General features: G+C 40.1%; 1 protein-coding gene and 1 long non-coding RNA gene across 6 annotated transcripts in view; one reads left to right on the forward strand and one right to left on the reverse strand.

Moving 5' to 3' along the window:
- Window positions 1-23,591, reverse strand: part of SPART (spartin) — a 68,543-nt gene that overhangs the window by 44,759 nt on the left and 193 nt on the right. For 2 of the 4 annotated variants that reach the window (NM_001142295.2, XM_005266314.4), the window contains exon 1: window positions 186-348. The exons of 1 other annotated variant lie outside the window; for it this stretch is intronic. The gene's annotated coding sequence lies outside the window, so the exon portion shown is untranslated. Of the gene's footprint in view, window positions 1-123; window positions 349-23,591 lie in introns of those variants that run through there. One more of the 4 variants, XM_047430211.1, reaches the window with a different exon arrangement.
- On the forward strand, window positions 35-23,339 carry SPART-AS1 (SPART antisense RNA 1). 2 transcript variants are annotated; one of them, NR_045180.1, is made up of 6 exons: window positions 35-111; window positions 14,258-14,344; window positions 19,104-19,208; window positions 19,334-19,447; window positions 21,802-21,947; window positions 23,092-23,339. It is a non-coding gene; the product is annotated as an SPART antisense RNA 1 (long non-coding RNA). The 2 variants fall into 2 exon arrangements; NR_045181.1 differs by lacking the exon at window positions 14,258-14,344.

The raw sequence follows: 23,591 nt of genomic DNA on the forward strand, positions 1-23,591 counted from the left end.
TCCACGACGCGCGCTCTCGAACGCTTCGCGTCACGCGGCCGCGCGGCCCCGCCCGTCGGCCTCGCTCCCGCCACAGAGCCCGCAGCACGCCGCCGCCGCAGCCTAGGTCACGTGAGTACCCACGCGCGCGTCTTGCCAGCGGATTCATCACCGGCCTGCTCAGACTAGGTTCTGCCCACTCTGACCTTCTAAATGGTACGTGGGAGGACGTCCGTCCCCTTCGGACCCAAGAGTCACCGTAACACTCTAGAAGGGGAGAAAAGGAGCGAGGGCGGCAGGCGACAGAGAACCTCGCGAGTCAGCGGCCCCGCGCAGACCCCCCCAGGCACGGTCCCCTGCGGCCACGTCGGCTGCTCGGCGCCTGCGCAATCTCTTTCTCTCCAGCGAAACCGAGGCCTCCGGAGAGCCTAGTAGAGAGTGTGGGCAGTGAGCGCTTGTAGCCGCTAGAGGGAGCGCTGGGCACAGTGCACGAGAGACAATAAAGGCTGATTATCCCCTCAATGTCTCTGCAGCCTGAGCTTTGTGACTTCTGTATCCAGAGCACAGTTAATTTCCAAAAGCCCGCCTGCACCACGTGTTTTAAGTCTTGGTGTGTGTGTAAAGTCTATATCACTATCATAAAACTGTTAGTTCCTGATTCCGGGATACAAAGAGTAAAATCAAGATGAACATACTTTACCCTTCTTGACAAGTGTTTTTAAATTAGTAAAATATTGTAGATGACAGACTCTTCAATAGGGCTGCCTTAGGGAAAAAAAAACAGAAAAAAGAAAAAGCAGTATGTACTTGCCCGGAGCATTTAGAACCAGTTTTGTTGTTGTTGTGTTTTTGTTTTGTTTTGAGACAGAGTCTTACTATGTTGCCCAGGCTGGAGTGCAGTGGCATGATCTCGGCTCACTGCAACCTCTGCTTCCCAGGTTCAAGCGACTCTCATGCCTCAGCCTCCAGAGAAGCTGGAATTACAGCTGTGCACCACCACTCCCGTCTAATTTTTGTATTTTTAGTAGAGACGGGGTTTCACCATATTGGCCAAGCTGGTCTTGAAAGCTTGACCTCAAGTTAGCCAGGCTGGTCTCGAATTCCTGACCTCAAGCGATCCACCTGCCTCAGTTTCCCAAAGTGCTGGGATTACAGGCGTGAGTCACCGCGCCTGGCCTTAGGACCAGTTAAGTGACTCCCTCAAATCTCAGAAAGGTAGCAGTCAGTCATCCCAAAAAGCAAAACCTATTAGGAATATATTAATACAGTGGTTTCAAAATGATTTTGCTCTTATACCCCCAAAGGAGTCCCCAAAGACTATGACTGTATTCTCACTTCCACGTTTTTGGATTGACCATCACAATTTCTCATCTGACTTAAATAGTTACAAAAGAAGCAACTTCTGTTTTATTATAAATTAACATTTTAAAATAAAAGTTATATAACTTTTAAATGTAGCCAGTGGAATCTAAATACCAATTTAATATCTAAAATCATCAATTTTTAAAACTACATGAACAAGCTTTTAACAGAAGGAAATTTTACATCATTTCTTTTCTTCTTGAACTCATATTTCCGTTCCATATTGTGAAATTGTATGTCAATATTTCTTTAGTCTTGCAAATATTGGCCAGGCTTGGTGGCTTATGCCTGTAGTCCCAGCTACTCCAGAGGCCGAGGCAAGAGAATCGCTTGAGCCCAGGAGTTCGAGACCAGCCTGGGCAACATGACGAAACCCGTCCCTACAAAAAAACACAAAAATTAGCTGGGCATGGTGGTACACATCTGTAGTCCCAGTTACTCCAGAGGCTGAGGCAGGAAGATCACCTGAGCTGGGGAGGCAGAGGCAGCAGTGACTGAGATTGTGCCACTGCACCCCAGCCTGGGCAATAGAGCCAGACCCTGTACCCCCTGGCCCCCACCAAAAAAAGAAAGGAAATCTTTTATTGGTCATCTACTCTACTTCTTTACATTTAAAAAGTACATACATTTAAATAGAATTTTTTAAATTTCCAACAGCCATAAAGATGAATGTGTTTAAAACATGTAGAATTTCTATACACAAAATTGTTATATATAGAAAACCCTAAAGAATTTACTACAACACTGTTAGAACTAATAAATGAGTACATCAAGGATTCAGGACAACAGGTCAACATACAGAAATCAATAGTATTTCTATACACTAGCAATGAACATTTCAAAAATGAAATTAATTCCATTCATAATATTATCAAGAAGAATAAAATACTTAGAAATAAATGTAATAAGTGCAAGACTTGTATGCTGAAGACCATACAACATTGCTGAAAGAACTTAAAGACCTAAATAAATGGAAAGACATCCCATGTTAAAGGGTTGAAAGACTTCATATTGGGAAGATGGCAGTACTTCTCAAATGGACCTCCAGACGCAACACAATCCGTGTCAAGATCCCAAATGACTTTTTTGCAGAATTTTGCAAGCTGATCCTAAAATTCATACAATCCAGGGAAATATAAGGACCCAGAATAGCCACATGAGCACACACACACAGATCTTGAAAAAGAAGAATGAAGTTGGAGGACTGACACATTCCAATTTCAAAACTTAACTACAAAGCTGCAGGCCAGGCATGGTGGCTCACACCTGTAATCCCAGCACTTTGGGAGGCCGAGGCAGGCGGATCACCTGAGGTCGGGAGTTCGAGACCAGCCCGACCAACATGAAGAAACCCGGTCTCTACTAAAAATACAAAATTACCTGGGCGTGGTGGCGCATGCCTGTAATCCTAGCTACCCAAGAGGCTGAGGCAGGAGACTCACTTGAACCCGGGAGGTGGAGGTCACCGTGAGCCGAGATTGTGCCATTGACTCCAGACTGGGCAACAAGAGCAAAACTCTGTCTCAAACAAACAAGCAAAAAACTGCAGTAAGTCAGTGTGGTTAATTTTTGTTTTATGAGGTATGTTTATGTTCACAGAAGCTTCCACGTATGGTTAAGTTACTGCTAGCCATAGTAGTCTAGTGCTGACTTCTAGGAATATTCGTACTACTGACTGCAGAATTACCTGGCATCCAAACAGAAAGACACTGGCCAGGCACCATATTGCTTTCTGTTTGGGTCCTACAGTGCCCAGTACCAGAAGGATGTGGTAGAAGGAACAAGTAAAGTGAACAGGGCCAGAAGCTCATCTGTAGAAAAGTGTAAGCAAAGGATTTGGTTTGCTCCTCAGTACCTGGTCAAAACCTGTATTAGTGGTCCTTCCAAATTCGATAATTGTGAAATTCTGTGACACTCTTAATACTGAATTATGAAGCTGAACTGAGCTTTCCTAAATTATATTAAAAAGCTAATCTTGATAAACTATGCTAGAGGAAAAACTGAATTATCTGTTATCTCTGTGGAATATGTTGCAAAATCATTTTCATATGAAGAAGCAATCAGCATAGAGCCAAGAAAGGTGGGGGAAAGTATTATGGGCTGTGCCAAGCACCTGAATAATAGAATGATGTTATTTTTCTGGATTTTGTGGTATCTGTAGTATTCGTCAGCTTTTTTAAATTAGTAATTTTTTGATTCACTTTTATTATTTTCCTACAGAAGGCCATTCAAACTGTGAAAGCTGCAAGCATCACAAAACTTGGATCTGCTTAGGCCAAAGGGGTGCTTGAGATTAGCAGAAAATAATTGCGTATATTTGGAAACATGTAAAAAGCCATTTTTAACATTTAATATATCTTATTGAGGTAAAACAAGGATTGGATTGTCAAATCAGACTGACAAGATTCAGAGCTTTCTTTTACCCAGTCACAAGAAAATAATGGCAGTATCCAAAACCACTAACCCAGGTCCCCAGGGCTTCCCCGAATTCCTTAGAACACATTCTGGCTTAGATCTCGCAGGTGAGGTCTCTGAGTAAGTTATGCCGGTGAACACTTACACAGATGGAGCTCTTTCAGTCAGGAACTATCTCCGTTTTATACTGAAATAATTACATGGTGGACACTGACATTTTCCACTGGGCCATTCCATGTATTAATATATCGATCAATTCCGGGTTTATTTACCTTAGGCCATCTAGACAGACCAGGTGTACCCTGCTAAAAAGCATTTCATAGACAAGGACTCCCCATTCTCTTTCCACCAGAATATACCTTGCATGTTTACAAGGAGATTTGATTTGGTCATTTCCACCTGGCCATCTCAGGATAGGAATAATTGGCTAAAAACCAGCTGCTGTCACTTAACTTCTAACTTTTCTCCCCTGTCTTTTTTTCTTACCAGATCCTTCTAAAAAAAATAATTCTCTAAAACTAGTGAATAATTGTGGCTGAGGTCTTTAAATGAAAATTACCATCATACCATTATAGAAGAGAACAATATTTTGAAATCATGGCACTTTTGGGGCTTTTACCCCTGGGTAATGCACCAGAGTAAGATTTAGGGAGCTGTGTATTTCTTGCATAAAGTGGGAAAAGTTTTAGTGTGAAAGGAGGAGTAGGAAAAAAGATACTAGGAAATAGCACATAAAAAATTAAAATCTGGGTATTGATTATCTTATCTTATATCCCTGTAAATTTCTGCATACCTCCAGTGGTATACATACCCCGGTCAAATATTTTTACATCACATACTTGTAGCAGAGAGTCTGGGACCACTAGTTCTAGAATCCAAGAACCCGAGTTTGAAGCCACCTTCATCTCACAGTTGTTGCCACTTAAACACTCTGACCTGTTTTCTCATCTGTAATATGGGGATGTGATAATAGAATCTGCCTCACAGGGTGGTTACCTAAATTAACTGAAGTAACTCATTTAAAGTTGGCACTCAAGCCAGGTGCAGCAGCTCACACCTGTAATCCCAGTACTTTAGGAGGCTGAGGCAGAAGGATCACTTGAGACCAGGAGTTCAAGACCACCCTGGGCAACAAACAAGACCTCATCTCTAATTTTGAAAAAAAAAAAAAAGTTTGCACTCAATAAATATTGGTAGTAATACATGAATTTCTTCTCTTCTTGCTGACATTCTTTAATGATTAGCAAAGATCAATTTGGTTCTAAGCAAATCTGTATGTTTTTTAAAGTCTGTCTTCCTTAAGATTGATGAAGTTGTTTTCTCTTGGCAAAGAATTTATTTCACTGTACAAAAATTGGTAAATATGAACACTATTGTAACCCTGTCACAGTGCCATTAATAAAACAGTAGTAGTATACATAGCATTATTTTAATAACGTAAATGTTCTCGGAAGAAAAATCTACTTGTTAATGGACTTTAGGAATGATATATGCCTATTTGGGTTTTAGGCATGCAATACCCATTATACTTACAAATCCTGGGTGATTATGCTAAAGACTTTTGTGTAGAAGCCTGTAGTTTAGTTAGATGAATGTGCTAAAAGTTTCAATCATAAATTATGCTAGATTCAATTTCATTCAGGTTGTCATTTCTTTTATTCACATGCTGAAAATATAGTATTTTTTCTTTTCATCTATTATATAATATTGTCAGTGGGTATTAGAAAACCCAGAGAGTATATCACATAATGATGAATATCATTAAAATGAGAAATGTCCAAATTAGCCATGAATTGAGTTAGATGTCAGGGTATCCATCTCATGAAGTGAACTTAGGTTATCACTAATGATATAACCGAATTGCTCCAAGCTCATGTTGAAATCAGTGGGATGACTCGATGTAAACTAAAACTCCTTGTGAGTACATTATGTTGAGGGTTAATGTTTTAATAATGTTCTAAAAGTTGTACATGAGGTAAGGTTTCTGACCTGTGATCTCATTACTTTTTTCTTTCTTGAACTCTACATTATATGAAAAGCATGCATTTGACAAAAGATCAATAATTGTGATGTTCTTAGTAAAGTATAACTTTCCTCTTACAGACCAAATATAGTGGATGATGGGCAATTTACTGATTAAAAATGGAAAACAATTCCTTTAACATTTCTTACTAACCTAATTTGACTTGGTACTAGCTAAATTGTACTTTTTATATTATGTTATAAATAGGCTACTGGGTTGGCTATCTTATTTTCTATTATATGTGTAACAGAGTGGTGGAGTGGGATTTAAAACCAGACACCAAAATTCTTCTAATAACTGCATTCCTTTAGGAAAATACATTGGTAAGCCACCTAGATTCAAGATGAGTCACCAAGGACACAGGCAAAATCAGACAGATAAATGAGAGAATACTTACACAGCATTTTGTAATACTGTCACTACATTACAAATGAGCAAAGATTTGCACAAGTGGAGTAGGGAATGAGAAGCAGTGAAAACTGAGAAGAGGCCAGGTGTGGTAGCCTCACACCTATAATCCCAACATGTTGGGAGGCTGAGGTGGGAGGATCAATTGAGCCCAGAAGTTCAAGACCAGACCAGCCTGGGCAACACAGGGAGATCCCGTTTCCAAAAAAAAAAAAAAAAATTGAAAATTAGCCAGGCATGGTGGCACACACCTGTAGCTCCAGCTACTTGGGAGGCTGAGGTGGGAGAATCTCTCAAGCCTGGGAGGTCAAGGCTACAGTGAGCCATGTTCACATCTCTGCACTCCAGCCTGAGTGACAGAACCAGAACCTGTCTCAAAAATAGAAAATTTAAAAATTGAGAAGAGAGGAAAAGCCAAGCAACATGATAGACTGACAAAAGACTCAGAACGAAATTTCCAAATTTTGCATTTGAGGTTGCTTTTGCTGTTGTGATGTATGAAGCCTACATTTTCTGAATACTTTAGAGCAGTTTGCCAAAAAATGCTGTGTTTTGTCTTGTTTTGTTTTATTTTGCTTTGTCTAGAAATGTAGGAAAAAGGCTCACCATTCATCTTGTTTACATGGTACAGAGCAAGACAAATATGTAAAGAATGAGACGAAGAATGATGCTGAGAGAACCCATGAACTGAGCTCCTTAGGGAAAGGAAAGGCTCAGAGCCAAAAATGTCCTCGAGACTGTAAGCCCCTGGGGAGACCCTTGGACATTTTGAAGAAGGCATTAGATTTTCTATGAGAGGTGGGAATGGAAGCTCAAAGCAAATGTCAATGCCCTCCAGCCAAATACAACCAAGAATACACTGGAGGTTTTTAGCAAACTGGGTTTATTACTTATTGAAGTGAGGGAGAACACACACCATGGGGAGTTAGGAGACATCTCGGTAAAAGGGTGTTAGAAAGGCCCTATTATAGCATTTGGGCTTGTGTTAGGTGATTTTGGTTTGGTATAAGGAACTGGGCTTTGCTCTGGGTTGGGCGCTGTCAGGAATCAGGAATAATTCTTTGATCGGGGATTTTAAACCTTATCTAGGAGGGAAGATGAGAGCCACACCAGAACTGTAATTAGGAAAGAAGCAGCAGTCACTCGTATTAGCCAAGACAGGCAGATGTTTGACCATTTTTTTGTGGTTTCGACAACATTCAAATACTCTGTTCAGACATGATTTCAGAGTGGTTGTGTTTTTGTCTTGATCCTTCAGTAGTCACAGAGTGGTCTTGTCTGACATGCATGTTCTGTGAATTGTTTATGTTCAGTTGGTTAACTCCAAGGCCTAGACAGAGGTAACAGTCCAACTCCTGGCAACACCTGGAAAGCTAGGCCTATTCAGATGTCAAAGGATGCTTTCTTTCTTTCTCACAGACTTTATGAAGTAGAGTAACCTTAGATGACACTGGGTTAGATCTATTTTATCAGATTGAGGGCTGGTTGATTAAATTCTATTCCCCCCTTTAAACCATGTCATTAAAAAGAAAACCTATGTCATGTTTTAATCAGCCAATTAGTTGATTAACAATAGCTATTTGATGTCCTTTGTAGGTAGAGGACTATAACAAAAGAAGCATAAAGGAGGTTTTTTTCTACATCATAAGATGTTCTACCATGAGCATCCCTTCCTTAAAAAAGTAATCTCACGCTGTCCAGGAAAAGGTGAATAACTTAGCAGACCTTGATTGCTTAGACCCTGCACTGTTCCAAGAAAGGCCTGGTCTTCAGGACTGTCCTCTGCACTTGAGGAATATTCTGTTCTGATAAGAATGGTTTTTTTATGCCTTTTGCCTGTGGGAGCTTGATTCTGAGTTGCGGAGGTCAACCCTACAGGCACTGCATGCCTATAAGGTTGATCCCCAATAAAAATCCTGGACACCAAGGCTCAGGTGAGCATCCCTGATTAATAACACTTTGCACATGTTGTCATGCATCATTGCTAAAAGAATTAAGCATGCCTGTGCCACTCCACTGAGAGAGGATATGTTGGAGCTTGCGCCTGTTTTCTCCTGGACTTTGCCTCTGTGCACCTTTTCCCATTGCTAATTTTAATGTATATTCTTTTGCTGTAATAAACCAGAACTGTGGGTATAATTGCTTTCCTAAGTCCTGTGAGTCCTCCTAGTGAACTGTCAATTCTGAGCATGGTCTTGGAGACCCATGATTAATTCTCCAACTGTATGCCTTCTTTACAGCCAATTCTACTCTACGTGGATTTACTTCTTTAATCTTTTTTCACAAGAAAATAAATTTCAGTTTTGGCATACTTTTAATAATAGCTGAAGAGGAAACTAGACCTAGAAACAGAAAATGTAAGTAAAGAAGACAAGGTAAAAGTAGAAATGTTTACAACAAAAATCTTGAGAGAGATAAAGTAAGTCTGCTCTTTAGGATTGTATTGATTCATTCATTCATTCAAACAATATTTATTAAGCACCTGCTTTGTATCAGGCAATTGCTTGATAATGGAGTTGCAGTGATCTTTAGAACAGATGTGGGTATGTGGGTTCACAACACATACTTTATGTTTTTGTTGTTGGTTTTCTTTTTTGAGTCAGCACCTTGCTTTGTTGCCAGGCTGGAGTGCAGTGGAACTATCATAGCTCACTAAGGCTTTAAACTCCTGGGCTTAAGTGATCCTCCCGCCTCAGCCTCCTGAGTAACTGGGATTACAGGCATGCACCACCATGCCTAGCTCTACAACATGTATTTTGTATTAAGTTATCATGGCAGAGCTAACTCTATACAATTCTGAGTGCCAGAAAGGAAATGTGGGAAACACCCAAGAGGTCATATCTGTTTTCAATATCCACATAACATAATCTTGCTCTGAAATCAGTGAGGCCTGGAAAGGGACAGCTATTTTCAGTCAAAAAAATAAAGGTTTGGAATATTGGAACAGCACAGAAAATGACATGCCAACATATCTCCTACTATATATGTTACTTGCAACAAAGCAAAGTAAATTTATAAACATCTCATAAAACTGTGAAAGTGTAAAATCATGAGAAGTTTCTAGTAAGTGTAAACCAAAAATAAAATTCTAAGGCTCCCCCCAACCATCTGAATGGACTTTCTTCTCAGCCAGGGCTCTTTTAAAATTTAACCTGAGAGACTGTTTCAGGCCATGATGGGAAGTGGGGGTCGAAACATGACTCATTATATTAGGTTGGTGCAAAGGTAATTGCAGTTTTTCTCATTAAAGTAATGGCAAAAAAAACCCCACAATTACCTTTGCACTAACGTAATAGCTCCTTGGCATTAACATCAACACAGACTTTAAGTCTGATAATATGGGGGTTCAGTCAGGCTGGTGGGAAAAAGTTATAGAGAATATACACAAATCCTTTGGGAAGGCCTGAGGGTTTTTACATATAGTACTTAGCTGAAGGCAGCCTTGTCCCCTTAGTTAAATAAATTAGAGTAGAAACAAAGGAATGTGGAGAGTTTACCTAACTAGCTTGTTTACTCATGTGGTCCTAAGACTAACTTTTGATCTACTATGGGTGCTTAATTGCCTTCTACTCCGGAGTCTACAATATCAATTACCCCCTAGTGGTGTTGACTCAAGCCTTTGTCAATTAATCTTTACTGAATAAATACGAGTCTTGCTGGCGAGTCTCGCTGGCTGGTCGAGGCCGTGCTTTACAGCACTCTGCTTGGAGTCTGTAAGCAGCCTGGACGCTCTGCTGGATTGGCAAAGCAGAATAGCTGTATGTCAGTGTACTTTATTCATCCATCATTGGGTCAGGGTCTGTGGGACAGACCCCCACATGATAAACATTTTACAACCTATTCTCTCTGAAGTCTACCACCTGAAGGCTTCCTTTGCAAATAAGAACTTGGGTCTCCACAATCCTTTGTCTTAATCCAGACAGCCTGCCCTTTCTGTTGATCCCAGGTCTTTAGACAAACTCAACCGTTGACCAGAAAATGTTTAAATTTACCAGTAGCCTGGAAGCCCTCCTACTTAAAGTTGTCCCCCCTTTCTGGACTGAACCAATGTATTTCTTAAATGTATTTAATTGATGTCTCATGCCTCCCTAAAATGTATAAAACCAAGCTGCACCTCGACCACCTTGGGCACATGTTCTCAGGACCTCCTGAAGGCTGTGTCACAGACCACGATCACTCATATTTGGCTCAGAATAAATCTCTTCAAATATCTTACAGAGTTTGACTCTTTTTGTCAACATAAGTAAGGGAGGATACATGGAAGTTAGTGTGCATGATTTACTAAATTGAAATTTGTAAAATATTTCATATGTTATTCTGTGTATTAAAAGTGCTTTATTTCAAGAAATGTAAAGATAAGTGCTTTTAAAGACAGTTTTAATCATTATCCCTCAAACCTATTTTCCCCACCAATATGTGAATGTCTTAATGTAGAAATTCTTCCTCCACTTGAGAAAGGCAACTGTCCCTTTCCTCGTAAAGGCTGCACTTCCTAGGTTCTCAGGGTTGTGGTTGCCCTGGGGGTCCAGGTAACCATCAACTAAGAACCCTCCTTGGAGTGAGGCAGAGCGTGGATGCTCCCGCTCTTACAACCATGGATACCTAATCAGTTTTTTTCAAGGGTGGATGGTTGGCTTTATCTGGGACCTGCTTCCTGAGGAGGCAAGTGCATGAGTGAAACTTTTGTAATTCAAGCCCCTTGCGCATTGATGGCCATCACCCATGGGATAGTTTTCTGGGAGTGCAGATTAGACCTGACCAGTCACAAGTCATCTTTGCTGGTACAGAGGCGAGTTGTTGGAAACAGTCATTTTCTTAGAAGAATGTGAAGGTATGGCCTCCTCGGAAAAAGCCCCTGAGGCCCCTGGTAAGGATTCTGCTGAAATTCAGGATTCAGGGGAGAAGAGGAATGTCCTACGCTGTGCAGCCTGCAGCAAGTCACACCCACAGAACTTCTGTTTAAACACTGCTTGTCTTTTTATAAAAGGAACCTATAAGTGGAATGTGAAAGAACCCTTTGGCAAAACAGCAAAGTGGTTAAGAATTATGCATTATTAAAATAATCACTGGTTATGTTCAGGTATTCTCTGTATACTTATAAAAGGTTTTTAAATTCTATGTAATTGTGGATTACAAGAATAAAGAGACTATCTTTAGTGCTGGTTCACTGTATCATCAGTCAGACACTAGCCCTTCATGAATAGGTTATTTATGGGGGCAGCCAGGAAGAAAAATGTGTGATGAATTGCTGGCAAAATCCACTGAACACCAGGAATTCATTGTTGAACATCCTTGATTGTCTTGGGAGAATTCCCATTCCAGAACAGCTAACACTTTTCTGGCAATATGAAGGTTTTGGATGGAAAGATCGAGGCCCAGAAATTCCAGCTCCAGGACTCTCAGTTCTTGGAGCTGGTCCATCCGAGCCTGATTGCCCAAATGAACTGATATTATAGCTGATTACCAGGAACACAATACTAAACAGATTTAAATGCGTCAGTTCATAAAATGTTCATAAGCAAAGTCACTATTCATAGAAAAAAAAAGAAAAACCTGCTATTTTATGAGATTTGGCAAAAATACGCCAACATTTATATTTTTACAGTTAAAATTTTCAAACGATTCTTCCCAGAAACTCTTGTTTTTTTGTTATTCAATCATATTCATTTTATGGTCTTTATTTCTTAGTCTTTTTTGCATGTTTGGATTTCTAATTGCTGCTGTGTCTTTAAAAAATAAAGCTCTTTTTCGTAAAGCAATACTAACTTGAAAAACCATCATCTCCCTGACACAGCTGCAAAGACTTGTTGCTGTCATGACTAATATATGAAGAGGAGAAATGAAAGTTGAATTTACCTATTTTTTTCTCATAGTCCCAGTTTGGCTCGAACAATTGGTACTGTATTACTATTACTGACAAAAAGAAGCTATTGGCCATTTTTAAAACTCTCATTCAGGACACAAGTAGGTCTTGAGAATCCCTGTTTCTTTTAAAAGAGTCAGTTCTGCAATCCAAAATATTTCCTTAGTTTAATTTATATGTAGAGAAGTCCCTGTAGTGTCAGATCACAGCATAGCTGAGCATCACTGAACTATATTTAGTCACAAGGTTTGATTATAACAGCAGGGCACTTCTTAAGCAGTCCTGGAGACGTGGAAATTAAAATGCTAAGAAAATCGTATTTTAAGTAGCCCACACAAACTACATATATATTAAGCCTACTTGCCAAGTCTTTAAGTTACTCCATCAGAATAAGTTAAAGGACTTTTGGAATTTGATTAACTTTTTTAGATAAAAAGAGTTCCCATTAACTTTTCTGCAAAATTAAATTGGGGATAAGACTAATAAATATTGTTTTGGGGGGCCAAGTGGAAGGTCTTCTGCTGACTGTTTTTTATTCATCATTCTATCTCACCACCTCCCACCCCCAATGAACAAATAAGGTGGCTATGCTTAGATGAAGAAGTAGAAGCTCAGAAAGTTTATGTAATATGTTCCAAACCACAGCAAGTACCAGACAAAGCCCAGGTTCTCAAAGGTTGTTTTCAGAACTGTTATTTTATTGAAATTAACATTTTGTTGAATACCGTATGCTCAGCATGATTAGTTTCCCTATATTGCCTTTAAACTCCTCCCCCACAAAATTATATGGAGTGGGGTTTATTGACATTACATAACACGGTCAAGGTCTTGTGACTAGTAAGTGGTAAAACTGTAATTTAAATTGGAGTCTTTGACTTTAAAACCTTAGCATGTTTTTCTTATACCACAGTGTCTTATTGTTTATCCAATTCCCAAGAGGTAATATACTTTGGAAAAATCTGAAACACCTTAGAAAAAAGAGTAATTTGCCAAGGCTAGAGATGGCCTCTTCAGGTTAGCTGTAAATATAGACATATACTTAATGCCATGGACCATCACATGCAGCTGTTTGAGTCCTAACAGTCTTACCTACTACCTACATGAACTTAGGCAAGTCACTTACCCTCAAAGCTTGTTTCCAACTTGGCTTGTTGAGAAAGCAGTAACAACTTCATAGGATTGTATTTGGGATTAAATAAAATAACGTATGCAAAGCTCTGTACTCCACAAGAGACAGCAAATTGCAGTAGTCAAGAGCACAGATCCTGAAGCCAGCTGTTCAAATTCAGAGTCCAAATTCTGGATCTGCCACTGGCCAGCTTGGTGACCTTGGGCAAGTTTGCTGTATTCATCTGTGTCATCTGTGTCCTCACTGCTAAAACAGGGTAATGATAGTAACTGCTTCATGAGCCAGTATGTATAGGGCATTTAGGATAGTGCCTAGAACACTAAACACTATGTAAGAGGTTGTTAATTTAAAAAAAAAAAAAAAAAAACACCTCTTTGAACATAGTAGATGCTGAATTTTATTCTGCAATCACCCAGGTGGATTAAAAATAAATTTTTAGGCTGGGCGCGGTGGCTCATGCCTGTAATCCTGGCACTTTGGGAGGCTGAGGTGGGCAGATCACGAGGTCAGGAGATCGAGACCATCCTGGCTAATACAGTGAAACCCCGTCTCTACTAAAAATACAAAAAATTAGCCAGGCATGGTGGCACACGCCTGTAGTCCCAGCTACATGGGAGGCTGAGGCAGGAGAATCGCTTGAACCTGGGAGGTGGAGGTTGCAGTGAGCCAAGATTGCGCCACTGCACTCCAGCCTGGGTGGAGAAAATTTTTGGAGAAAATTCCTGCATTGCCATTAGGGAAACATGTCAAATGAAATCAGCAGTTCTAGAATGATGAATGTTAGAGCTACCCTAGTAAGTTCACTGGATTTGGGGGCAGGAAGATGAGGCAGAGAGGAAGGTGTTAAGAGTGTCTTTCAGATTTGGGGATTAGGTAACTAATCCCCAGATGACACTAGGAGCTATTTCATACTGAGATGGGGAAGAGAAGAATTATGCATATGGGAACAGTAAGAAGTAAAAGAACTAGCATTTGTACCGTCTCCCAAGTACCAGGCATTGTGCTAGGCACTTTGTATACAGAGTAACTCATTTCATTCTCATAACTACCGTTTGGGTTTTACTCTCTCTGTTTTTAGAGATCTGTGAAAATCTTTAAAGGCATGTGTTTTGCCATATATGCAAGTGAATCAACTTGCCAGATAAAAGTTTGCTGCCTAAATATGGTAAGAATTCTTCTTCTCTTGCCCCCTTCCCCCACTAAGCTCTGAATTTTCACATCAATATTTATATTGCTATGTTAGAGTGGGCACTACTTTCACCAGAAAGTGACCCTTTTCTATTCTTGGTAGTTAGTCTTTTAATACCTCCATAGACAAAGAACCTTTTGAGATGCCATGCAGGCTCTAAAGTTCTGTAATAACTTGGAAATCTGTGATGGTTAGACAACTCTGTCCAGAAATGTCTTGGGAGCTGTCATATTTCTCCAATACTCACATTAGACACAGACATACTATCATGGAGCTAAAATTCATGGTGTAACGATATTGCACATTAACCTCATAATGCTGTCTGTATCAATTTCAACATTAATATAATGTAACTGTTTCCAGGTGGAAGCAAACCAACTTATATACATGTTTTTATTGCAATCTTCTGAAAAATGCATGCCATCTGTATTACCTCAAACTTTTGGGAACAAAATACATTAAACTAAGCAGAACCTCAAATAGTCAAAAGAATCTGTCTTTTTCAGGATATTTCTGAACTCTCTAAAAGAAAACAAGTTTTGAATTATAGAATACATAAATTTTTCAAACACAAGCACCACCAGAGGGAACATTAATATAATTTTTTTCAATCGCTTTGCATCATTCTTTTTTGTTGTTTTTGTTGTTGTTGTTTTTGAGACAGAGTTTCCCTCTTGTTGCCCAGGCTGGAGTGCAATGGTGTGCTCTCAGCTGACTGCAACCTCTGCCTCCTGGGTTCAAGAAATTGTCCCGCCTCAGCCTCCTGAGTAGCTGGGATTACAGGTGCCCACCACCACGCCCAGCTAATTTTGTATTTTTAGTAGAGACTGGGTTTCGCCATGTTAGCCAGGCTGGCATCAAACTCCTGACCTCAGGTGATCCATCTGCATCAGACCCCCAAAGTGCTTACACCACGCCTGGCCCCTTTGCATCACCCTAAAACCGCCTTTTCATTCTGATGGATAATTGAAACTGAAAACTTTCTAAACTTTACTAAGCATTTATTGCTACTATTTACATTTTTAATTATACTACAACATTCTTATAGTAAGAAAGCTATTACTGATGACTATTGTAATCTCTGTTGATATTTACAATTGATATTTTTGCTCTTTGGTTTTAAGACAAATTCTTGACTGCATGAATATCAATAATAAAAAGATTTTATGCCTGTGTGATGTTTCAAGGTTGTCAGCATGCTGTGCAAAAATTACCTTGAGCAATGCCTAGGACACTCCATTGTAGGCAGGCATTATTATCACTGCAGTCCTTGTACTAGACCCCAGGCAAACAATACCCATGTCAGCCGGGTGTGGTGGCTCACGCCTGTAATCCCAGCATTTTGGAAGGCTGAGATGGGCGGATCACCTGAGGTCAGGAGTTCGAGACCAGCCTGGGCAACATGGCAAAACCCCGTCTCTACTACAAGTACAAAAATTAGCTGGGCATGGTGGCGCACGCCTGTAATCCCAGCTATTCAGGAGGCTGAGGCAGGAGAATCACTTGACCCCCAGGAGGTGGAGGTTGCAGTGAGCTGCAATTACGCCACTGCACTCCAGCCTAGGTGACAGAGCAAGACTTCCATCTCAAAAAAAAAAAAAAATACCCATGTTATGGAAGAAGAAACAGAGGCTCAGGAGGTGACCAGCTGTGAAGGGGTGTAGCTATACCCAGATCTAATGAGTCACAGCTGACTACATGTATTCACTACATCTTTGTTAAGCAACTTGTCCAGTAGTGACTCAGTTATTGAAAAAAGTGCATTTCAATATCATGCTCTGAATGAGACATTGCTCTCAGGATGCAGAATCCCTCGTTTCTTTCTCCCCTGTGTGCTCTGCATGAGGCCACCTGAGAAGATCTGGACTCATGCAGATCTTGAGTAGATCTTGAGTAGGAGGAGCCCTACTCCTCCACCAGGCTAACCCTCAGGGCTTGCTTGGTGCCTAAGATAGCCCACAGCTTGCTGCCCCTCAGCTGCTAGCCCAAAACCAACAGCAAGAAAGCAGACTGTAATGTGGAGGATACTTTTTTTTTTTTAAATGAGATTTTGTTCCTAGGAGACTCTAAAAATTAATACCTTATTCCACTGTTCTTTTTGGTTATGTAAGATTATTTTCCAAAATGCTGGCAGTAATTGTCCTCTGTATTAACTAATTTTCTGCTGGTGATTATTAACATGGTGAAAGGCAGAACTGCTAAATCGGGGCTTCCCACTCTTTAACATGCATACACATCCTCTGAATATTTTTTTTAAAAAAAAGACAGATTCTGATTCAATAGGTCTAGGATGGTACCTGAGAGGCTGCATTTCTGGAAAGCCCCAAGGGACTGGTCCACAGACCACACTTTGAGTGGCATGGAACGAAAGTATTTCAAACAGTCCTTGTATTTGCCTGACGATCTGTGAGAACAGGATCAGTCTAAAGATGAGTAATGATTCTTTTTTCTGAAAACAATAACAACCAAAATGATTTCTAGTTGATTTTATTTTTCCCTATTTACTTTTTCTAGGAGAGTATGGGAATTAAATGGAATTCTCTTTCCTAGTGTTTGGGAATAAATCAGGTGTTGAGTTAAATAAGCATCTCTCTCTCTCTCTCTCTCTGTCCCTCTTTTTGTCTGTCTCTCTTTCTTTCTCTCTCTCTCTCTCTGAACTCTAGAGAAATGCTGAGCTGCTGCCTTTTGGTCCTCCCCCTTCTCTGAATTTTCCCATCTACTCTTCTCTGCCTTTGCTTGATCCTTTTTCCCCTATGAAGATTTGGGGTTTTTATTGACCAGAGGCAGATTTTGGCAAGAATGTCCCAGTTATTTTAGCTTATGCAGTTGGTCACATTCTTGTGAAATTAGCCTGAAATTAGATTACTGCTCAAGATAGCCATGAAATAATGTCAGCACTCAGTATTTAATTCTGAATTATCTGGCAACACCGAATCAGCTCTGCCAAAATGGACATGCCTCAGCGTCTCAGCAGTGATAGTGTTGCAGCCTGTTGGTTTTTTTTGTTGTTGTTGTTTTTTGTTTTTGTTTTTACTTTTTATTTTGAGACAAATACTATAATAAGATGCACAAATAATAGTTTTAAGTGTACGTCATCCAGCTTTCCTCAAAGATAACACCTTACATAACCATAGTACATTATGAAAATCAGGAAACTAGCATTGGTATGTATTATTAACTAAACTACAGGCCTTATTTTGATTTTACCAGTTTTTACATGCACTCTTTTTTTGGGCTGGGGGACGGTATGCAGTAGTATAAAGTTTTACATATCTGTGTATAGATTCATGGAACCACCATCACAGTCTTCCTGATTGCTAAAAGTTGGTGTTCTCCAGGATTCTGTCCTGAACGCTATTCCGTTTTCATTCTCCACGTTATCCCTGGACCCTCTTATTAGTAATAGTGACTGTAACTATCTTTTCTATTTGGATAATTCTCCAATGTATAACGTTAACCTCTCTTGAGCTCTATACCTCACCATTTCCTGGCCTACTTCTGGACACCCACTGACTATTTTATCTGTACCATGAGCTCCAACATAGCCAAAATTGAACCTGTATTCCTTCATTTTTAAACTAAATAATCTCCATTTGAGGGATTAACACCTTGTGGCCCAAGTCAGAATTCCCAGGGATCATCTTAGAAGCATCCAGTCTCCCTAATCCACCTCCACATAATAAAAAGAGCCAACACTGCTAGAGCAGGTACTGTGTGCTGGATACTGTCCCACACCTGCTTGAGGGATCAGCTCACGTTGTTCTGATGGCAATCCCACGCTTTGTCAGAAATGGATCCAAGTTTCATGAAGCCTGAAACTTGTATAGTTTCAGGTCCCATTAACGAAAAAGAACAGAAGATTACAAATATTAGAATTAGGATTTGTCAAGGGAAATATTTGGGCTAGTGCAAGTGAGGGGCCCTGAAAATTGACCTTCACTAAGTTCATAATCTATCTGTCTTTGAGATCAATGCTATTCTTCTTGCCGTTTTACAGTGAGACAATCAAGGAACACAAAGTTTGCAAAAGTTGACTTGACCAAGGTCCTCCTGCCACAGGGGCCTCATTACCTCTTGCTGTGTTTTAACAGAGGCCTCCTATGTGACCTCTCTGCTGTCAATCAGCCCCCTTCATCCATTCTCCACACTGACCCCAGAGGGATCTGCACACAGGGCCATGTCTCTCTCCTGATCCAAAGCTGTCACTGGTTCCTGGTCCCTTTTAGGATAAGAACTAAACTGTTTTGCATGACTCCTTGGCTGTCTCCTCTGACACTGGAGGTTGCATGATGCTGAACTGCTAGGGGCTCCCACCAATGCCCCACACTTCCACTTCCTACTCCTTTCCACGTGTCCTGCTGCTGCCAGGACTGCTCTCCTCCCATCTCCTCTACACACTGCACTCTTTATCATTTTATCCAAAGTAGAAAATGCATTATTGGTTATTTTTAGCTTATAGGAGCAACAGATGGTTAAAGTAAAAAAAAATTATACAGTGCAAAGAATTAAGTAAAAACTACCACATCTGTGGCCCCATTTTTTGGGATGAACCACTATTAAGTGTATGGTGTACATACTTTTCATTTTTCCTACTCTGTGTGTATGTGTATGTGTGTTCTAGCCTATAAAATTGGGATATGTTACTATGTTATTATTATTCTTTTTCATTTTTATTAATCTTCCAGACTTTTCTCCAAAATGTTTTTCATTTTGTTTGTTTTTGCAAATATCTTAGATTACTAGGAAAGCCAAGTCTCTCTTCCTGGATTTCTTCTCCTATAAACCGCCTATTGATACCTACCCACTTCTCTATGGAGCACAGATGAAGGATATTGGTCATGTATGTTGAAATATTTATCCAACTTTATCCCTAGTTTTTTGACTTTGTAAGGGTGAGGAATTTTAATTTGTATATACTTGTAGATGCCTTTAGAACAATGACCATATCTTTTTTTATCTCCATAGCTCCAGCATCTAGCACAACGTCTGCAATGGAACAGGCGAGCTGTGAATATTTGTGGAATGCATGGGTGGACTAAAGACCTATCACCTCACTCTAGAATGCCCAGCATGTTGGAGGTAAGAGCTCATCTTCTGGTCTCTTTACCCCTTCTCATACAGAGCCAGTCACCAAATCCTGCAAATTCAACCCTCAAAATGTCTTTACACGTCCCACAGCCACCACCGCTCTGTCAGACTTACCATTTCTCACCTGGATTCCTGCAGTAGCTTCCTCTCTCTGGTCTCTCTAAGCTAATGCTTTCTCTATGTGTGACCAGGGTTTTCTAAAACACAATCTGTTCATTTCACCGTCCTGCTTAAAAACCTTGAATGACTCCATAGTGCCTGGAAAAGCAATCTAAATACGTTAGAAAGGAGTTCAAGGCCCTCCATAAAATCTGGTCTGACTTCCCTACTCAGCGCCGCCTCTCTTTCTTCACATCTTCTATTCTCCAGCTGTGCCACACTTTATTCAGCTGTTCTGGAACAGACCTTATATTTCACAACTCTGCTTATTAGATTCATCTCAAATGTCAGACATTCCATGGAATCTCATCCTGTCTCTCTATCAAAATTATCACACTACTATTACCACCATTAGCACCACATCACTTACCTGGTATACCTCCCTGTATCCTCTACACTTCCTCATTAATTCAAAGATAACTTTATATTTCTCTCCCTATTTCAACTTCCTGCCTCCATAGAAACAGTTTTCTGGTTCAGCAGTTTCAATGAATCAATCAAATATTTGCACATCTGTTATGTGCAAAGTACTGATGCCATTTCTGATACTCAACTCACTTTTCAGTTGAAATTTCGAGTGCATCTGAGTTCTGAAAAATTATTAGTTTGTAAAAGTCTGAAAATACATGCATTTATAAAAATCTTGGGGGACCTCCTCTTTTGGCTTGGAATACCCCTCCCTCTGTCTCTGTACGGGGGAATTTCTTCCTTCTGTCTTTGCCCTTCCTTCTTGCCTATTAAACTCTCCACTCCTTAAAACCACCCTACGTGTATCTGTGTCGTTTTATTTAAACCGGCATGAGGACCAAGAACCATGGTGTTCCTCCACTCATCAGAGCCGTATCATTTTGATGCATGCGCCAAGAAAGAAAATTCAATAATCAGACTGAAGCAATCAAACTCCAAATGGTGCTGTAAACTGAACCACACATAGACATGCCATTCTTCTAAGGACCCTTAGATCCACCCCAGGAGGAGCGCTAGCTGCTGTTCCCCATTCGATGCCCCTTTTCGGCCGGAAGTAGCCGGAAAGATTCGCCGCCCAAAATCCCCTAACAGCAGTTAGTGTGGCATCTCCACAGCAGGGAGCGTTGTAGGAAAAGGTGTCCTTGGGAAGTTTTCGGTTTTTAAAGCATCTCCGGAAAAGTTTCTTGTAAAGCCCTGGCTCTTAGAGCCAGGCCAGCAACCTTTGATATGCAAATGCTGGCTATCAGAAACTGGGTCCACCCAAACATGGAGGCCTTCTTGCCCTTTCCCCACATGTTCCTGGCAACATGGCTGCCCCCACATATCCCCACATGTGTAGAAAATCATGGCACCCTGCACTTGCATATTAAAAGGGTAGGGTGGGAGGGCCAGCTTTTTCGCAGTTTACGTGAATGACATGCCTAGTCAAACGAATCCCCTGAGCCCTATGCAAATCAAACACCGCCTCCTCCAGCCTCTGCATATATACCTGGCTGGTATCTGTGGCAAGGTGGGGACCTCCTCTTTTGGCTTTGGAGACCCATCCCTCTGTCTGTGTACAGGGGAGCTTCTTCCTTCTGTCTTCCCCTTTCCTTCTTGCCTATTAAACTCTCCGCTCTTAAAACCATTTAAAAAAAAAACTTAAAATAATTAAATTGGGATGAAAAAAGCCTTGTAAGCTTCTCTTGGAACAGAAGATCTGAAGTAAACAGGGAGGTAGATGGCAGTGTATTCCCGGTCTTGTTAGCTAAGCAAGTGAGCGGGAAGCAGGGCTTCTATTCACAGGTGATATCTCCTCACTCACTATGTGATGATTCAGTCATCTGGCACAGCGTCCTCTAGTTCAATTAAAATATGTCTGAGTTTTTGGCCTAAATATAGTAATAGACACAAATATTAAACTCATTTTTCCTAAGCTTTTAAAAAATTATATATTCTCAGGATACGACGGATAATCATTTGCCTCTGCAAATTTAAGTCACACAATTTATTTGTGTGTTCTCTATTCTCATTGCAACATGCTTTAGGGCTAAATATAATCAAAAAAAGGATTCAATATACGTACATTAATATTAGTAAACCTTTGCCCCTAGTAAAATGATCATGGCTCTAAAACTTTAAGGCTTATCACTTTTCTTTCAAGGAAAGAGTCGGGCATATTTTAAACATGTCAACAAAAAATAAATTCTTTCATTTACTCATTCCTTTCTCCCTTCCAGCATGTTAAGCACTATATGAGCTGCTGAGGATACAGGAATAAACAACAACACAGGTGTGTCCTCTGCCCAAACCAGGCATAAATGAGCTTCCAAATGAACACAAACAAATCTGGAAGGCTTTTGAGGAAGAAGGACCATTAAAAAAGGTACAGAAAGAATGTATTGAGATCATGTTTATCCATCACTGAAATAAAATACGCTCCAAAATTTCAATGATTCTCCAGCCAATATATTATTACCCCTCCTTATTAAAAAAAAAATGAAAAAAACCTGCCAATAGAAAGCTGCCTTTCCTAGTAGATTGCATGCAAGTCATACTGTTAGCTAGAACTTAAGATACCTTGTTGATTTAATCAGTAGGTTACTATATGTAATAATTCAATATTAAGAGAAGTGAGGCTATCAATATTATAGGTATATTTTACATTTTTCCAATCAGTCATTACTAAAGCTAACATTAAAAATCTTAATATATTACACTCTACGTTTTTGGAGCACAAATATAACAATTTAAAAAATAAATTGGCTGGGCGCAGTGGCTCACGCCTGTAATCCCAGCACTTTGGGAGGCTGAGGTGGGCTGTTCATGATCTGGAGATCGAGACCATCTGGCCAACATGGTGAAACCCCGTCTCTACTAAAAATACAAAAATTAGCTGGGTGTGGTAGCGCTTGCCTGTAATCCCAGCTACTCGGGAGGCTGAGGCATGAGAATCGCTTGAATCCAGGAGGCGGAGGTTTCAGTGAGCTGAGATCGTGCCACTGCACTCCAGCCTGGTGACAGAGCAAATTTCTGTCTCAAAAAATAAAAAATAAAAATAAATTTAAAAATTGCAGAACATTTTCTTTAAATAATGCTATTTTTCTCAAAAATTAAATCAGCTATTGATTTTCTTCCAAGGTCATTTGCCTCCCATCTTTCTTCCAAGTGTCATCATCTTATGTATTTCACTTTTTATAAAACTTTAAACAGCAAGAGGCCATACAAAATGAAAAAACATAACTTGTATTAATTCATTTAGTCCTTTAAAAGCTGTATCAGAAGCTGTTGTTGAAAAAATGGTAGAGTTATTAGGAGTGTTGCAATGTACTCCTAGATGTCCTATAACTGATATGTTAGTCTTACACTCTTCATAATCGTATATAGCGATCTTAGTACTAGCAGACATCTAAGGTCTATGATGGCATTTAACACAATTTTGTCTCCAAATTCTGCTGTGGTTTCATCAATGCCTTTTTGTTAGCTCTGAGTTTAAATTTTAATCTGGAACCATAACTGATTTATCCCAGCTGCTGACGACTGCCTGGAATCTGGTTTGGAGCATCTCCAAAGCCAACGTACTTTCCCCCAAGAAAATACAGGAAGATCTCTCTGCCCAGGCTTGGAAATACATAAGGATCAGGTTTGCCATCCTCTACTTTAGGGTGACTTTAACATAATTTAATGCCCACTGACTGCTTTTCTCCTACAGGTAAAGTAACAAACAAAGGAGTCAACTCTCAGGAGCTCTCTCTTTCATCTGCTTTATGTTGCCATTTTCCCTCATTGCCCTCTCACATTCACTCAGTAATTCACCAAATATTTATAGAGACTTCATGGTGTGCAAGGCAGTGAACTCCACACTGTAGGAAGAGTAAAGCCATGGAGATCGCAGGCCTGGCTCTTCATACCTTTGGCTTTCTGTTGAATTGAACTTTCTGTTAAGTTTAAAATACACAATAGAACTTTGACGATGTTGTGGCCTGGTCAGGGATGGGACAGATAACCAGCCCTTAAAAATAAAGCTCCT

Source organism: Homo sapiens, chromosome 13, assembly GCF_000001405.40.
Source record: "Homo sapiens chromosome 13, GRCh38.p14 Primary Assembly".
NCBI lineage: Eukaryota > Metazoa > Chordata > Mammalia > Primates > Hominidae > Homo > Homo sapiens.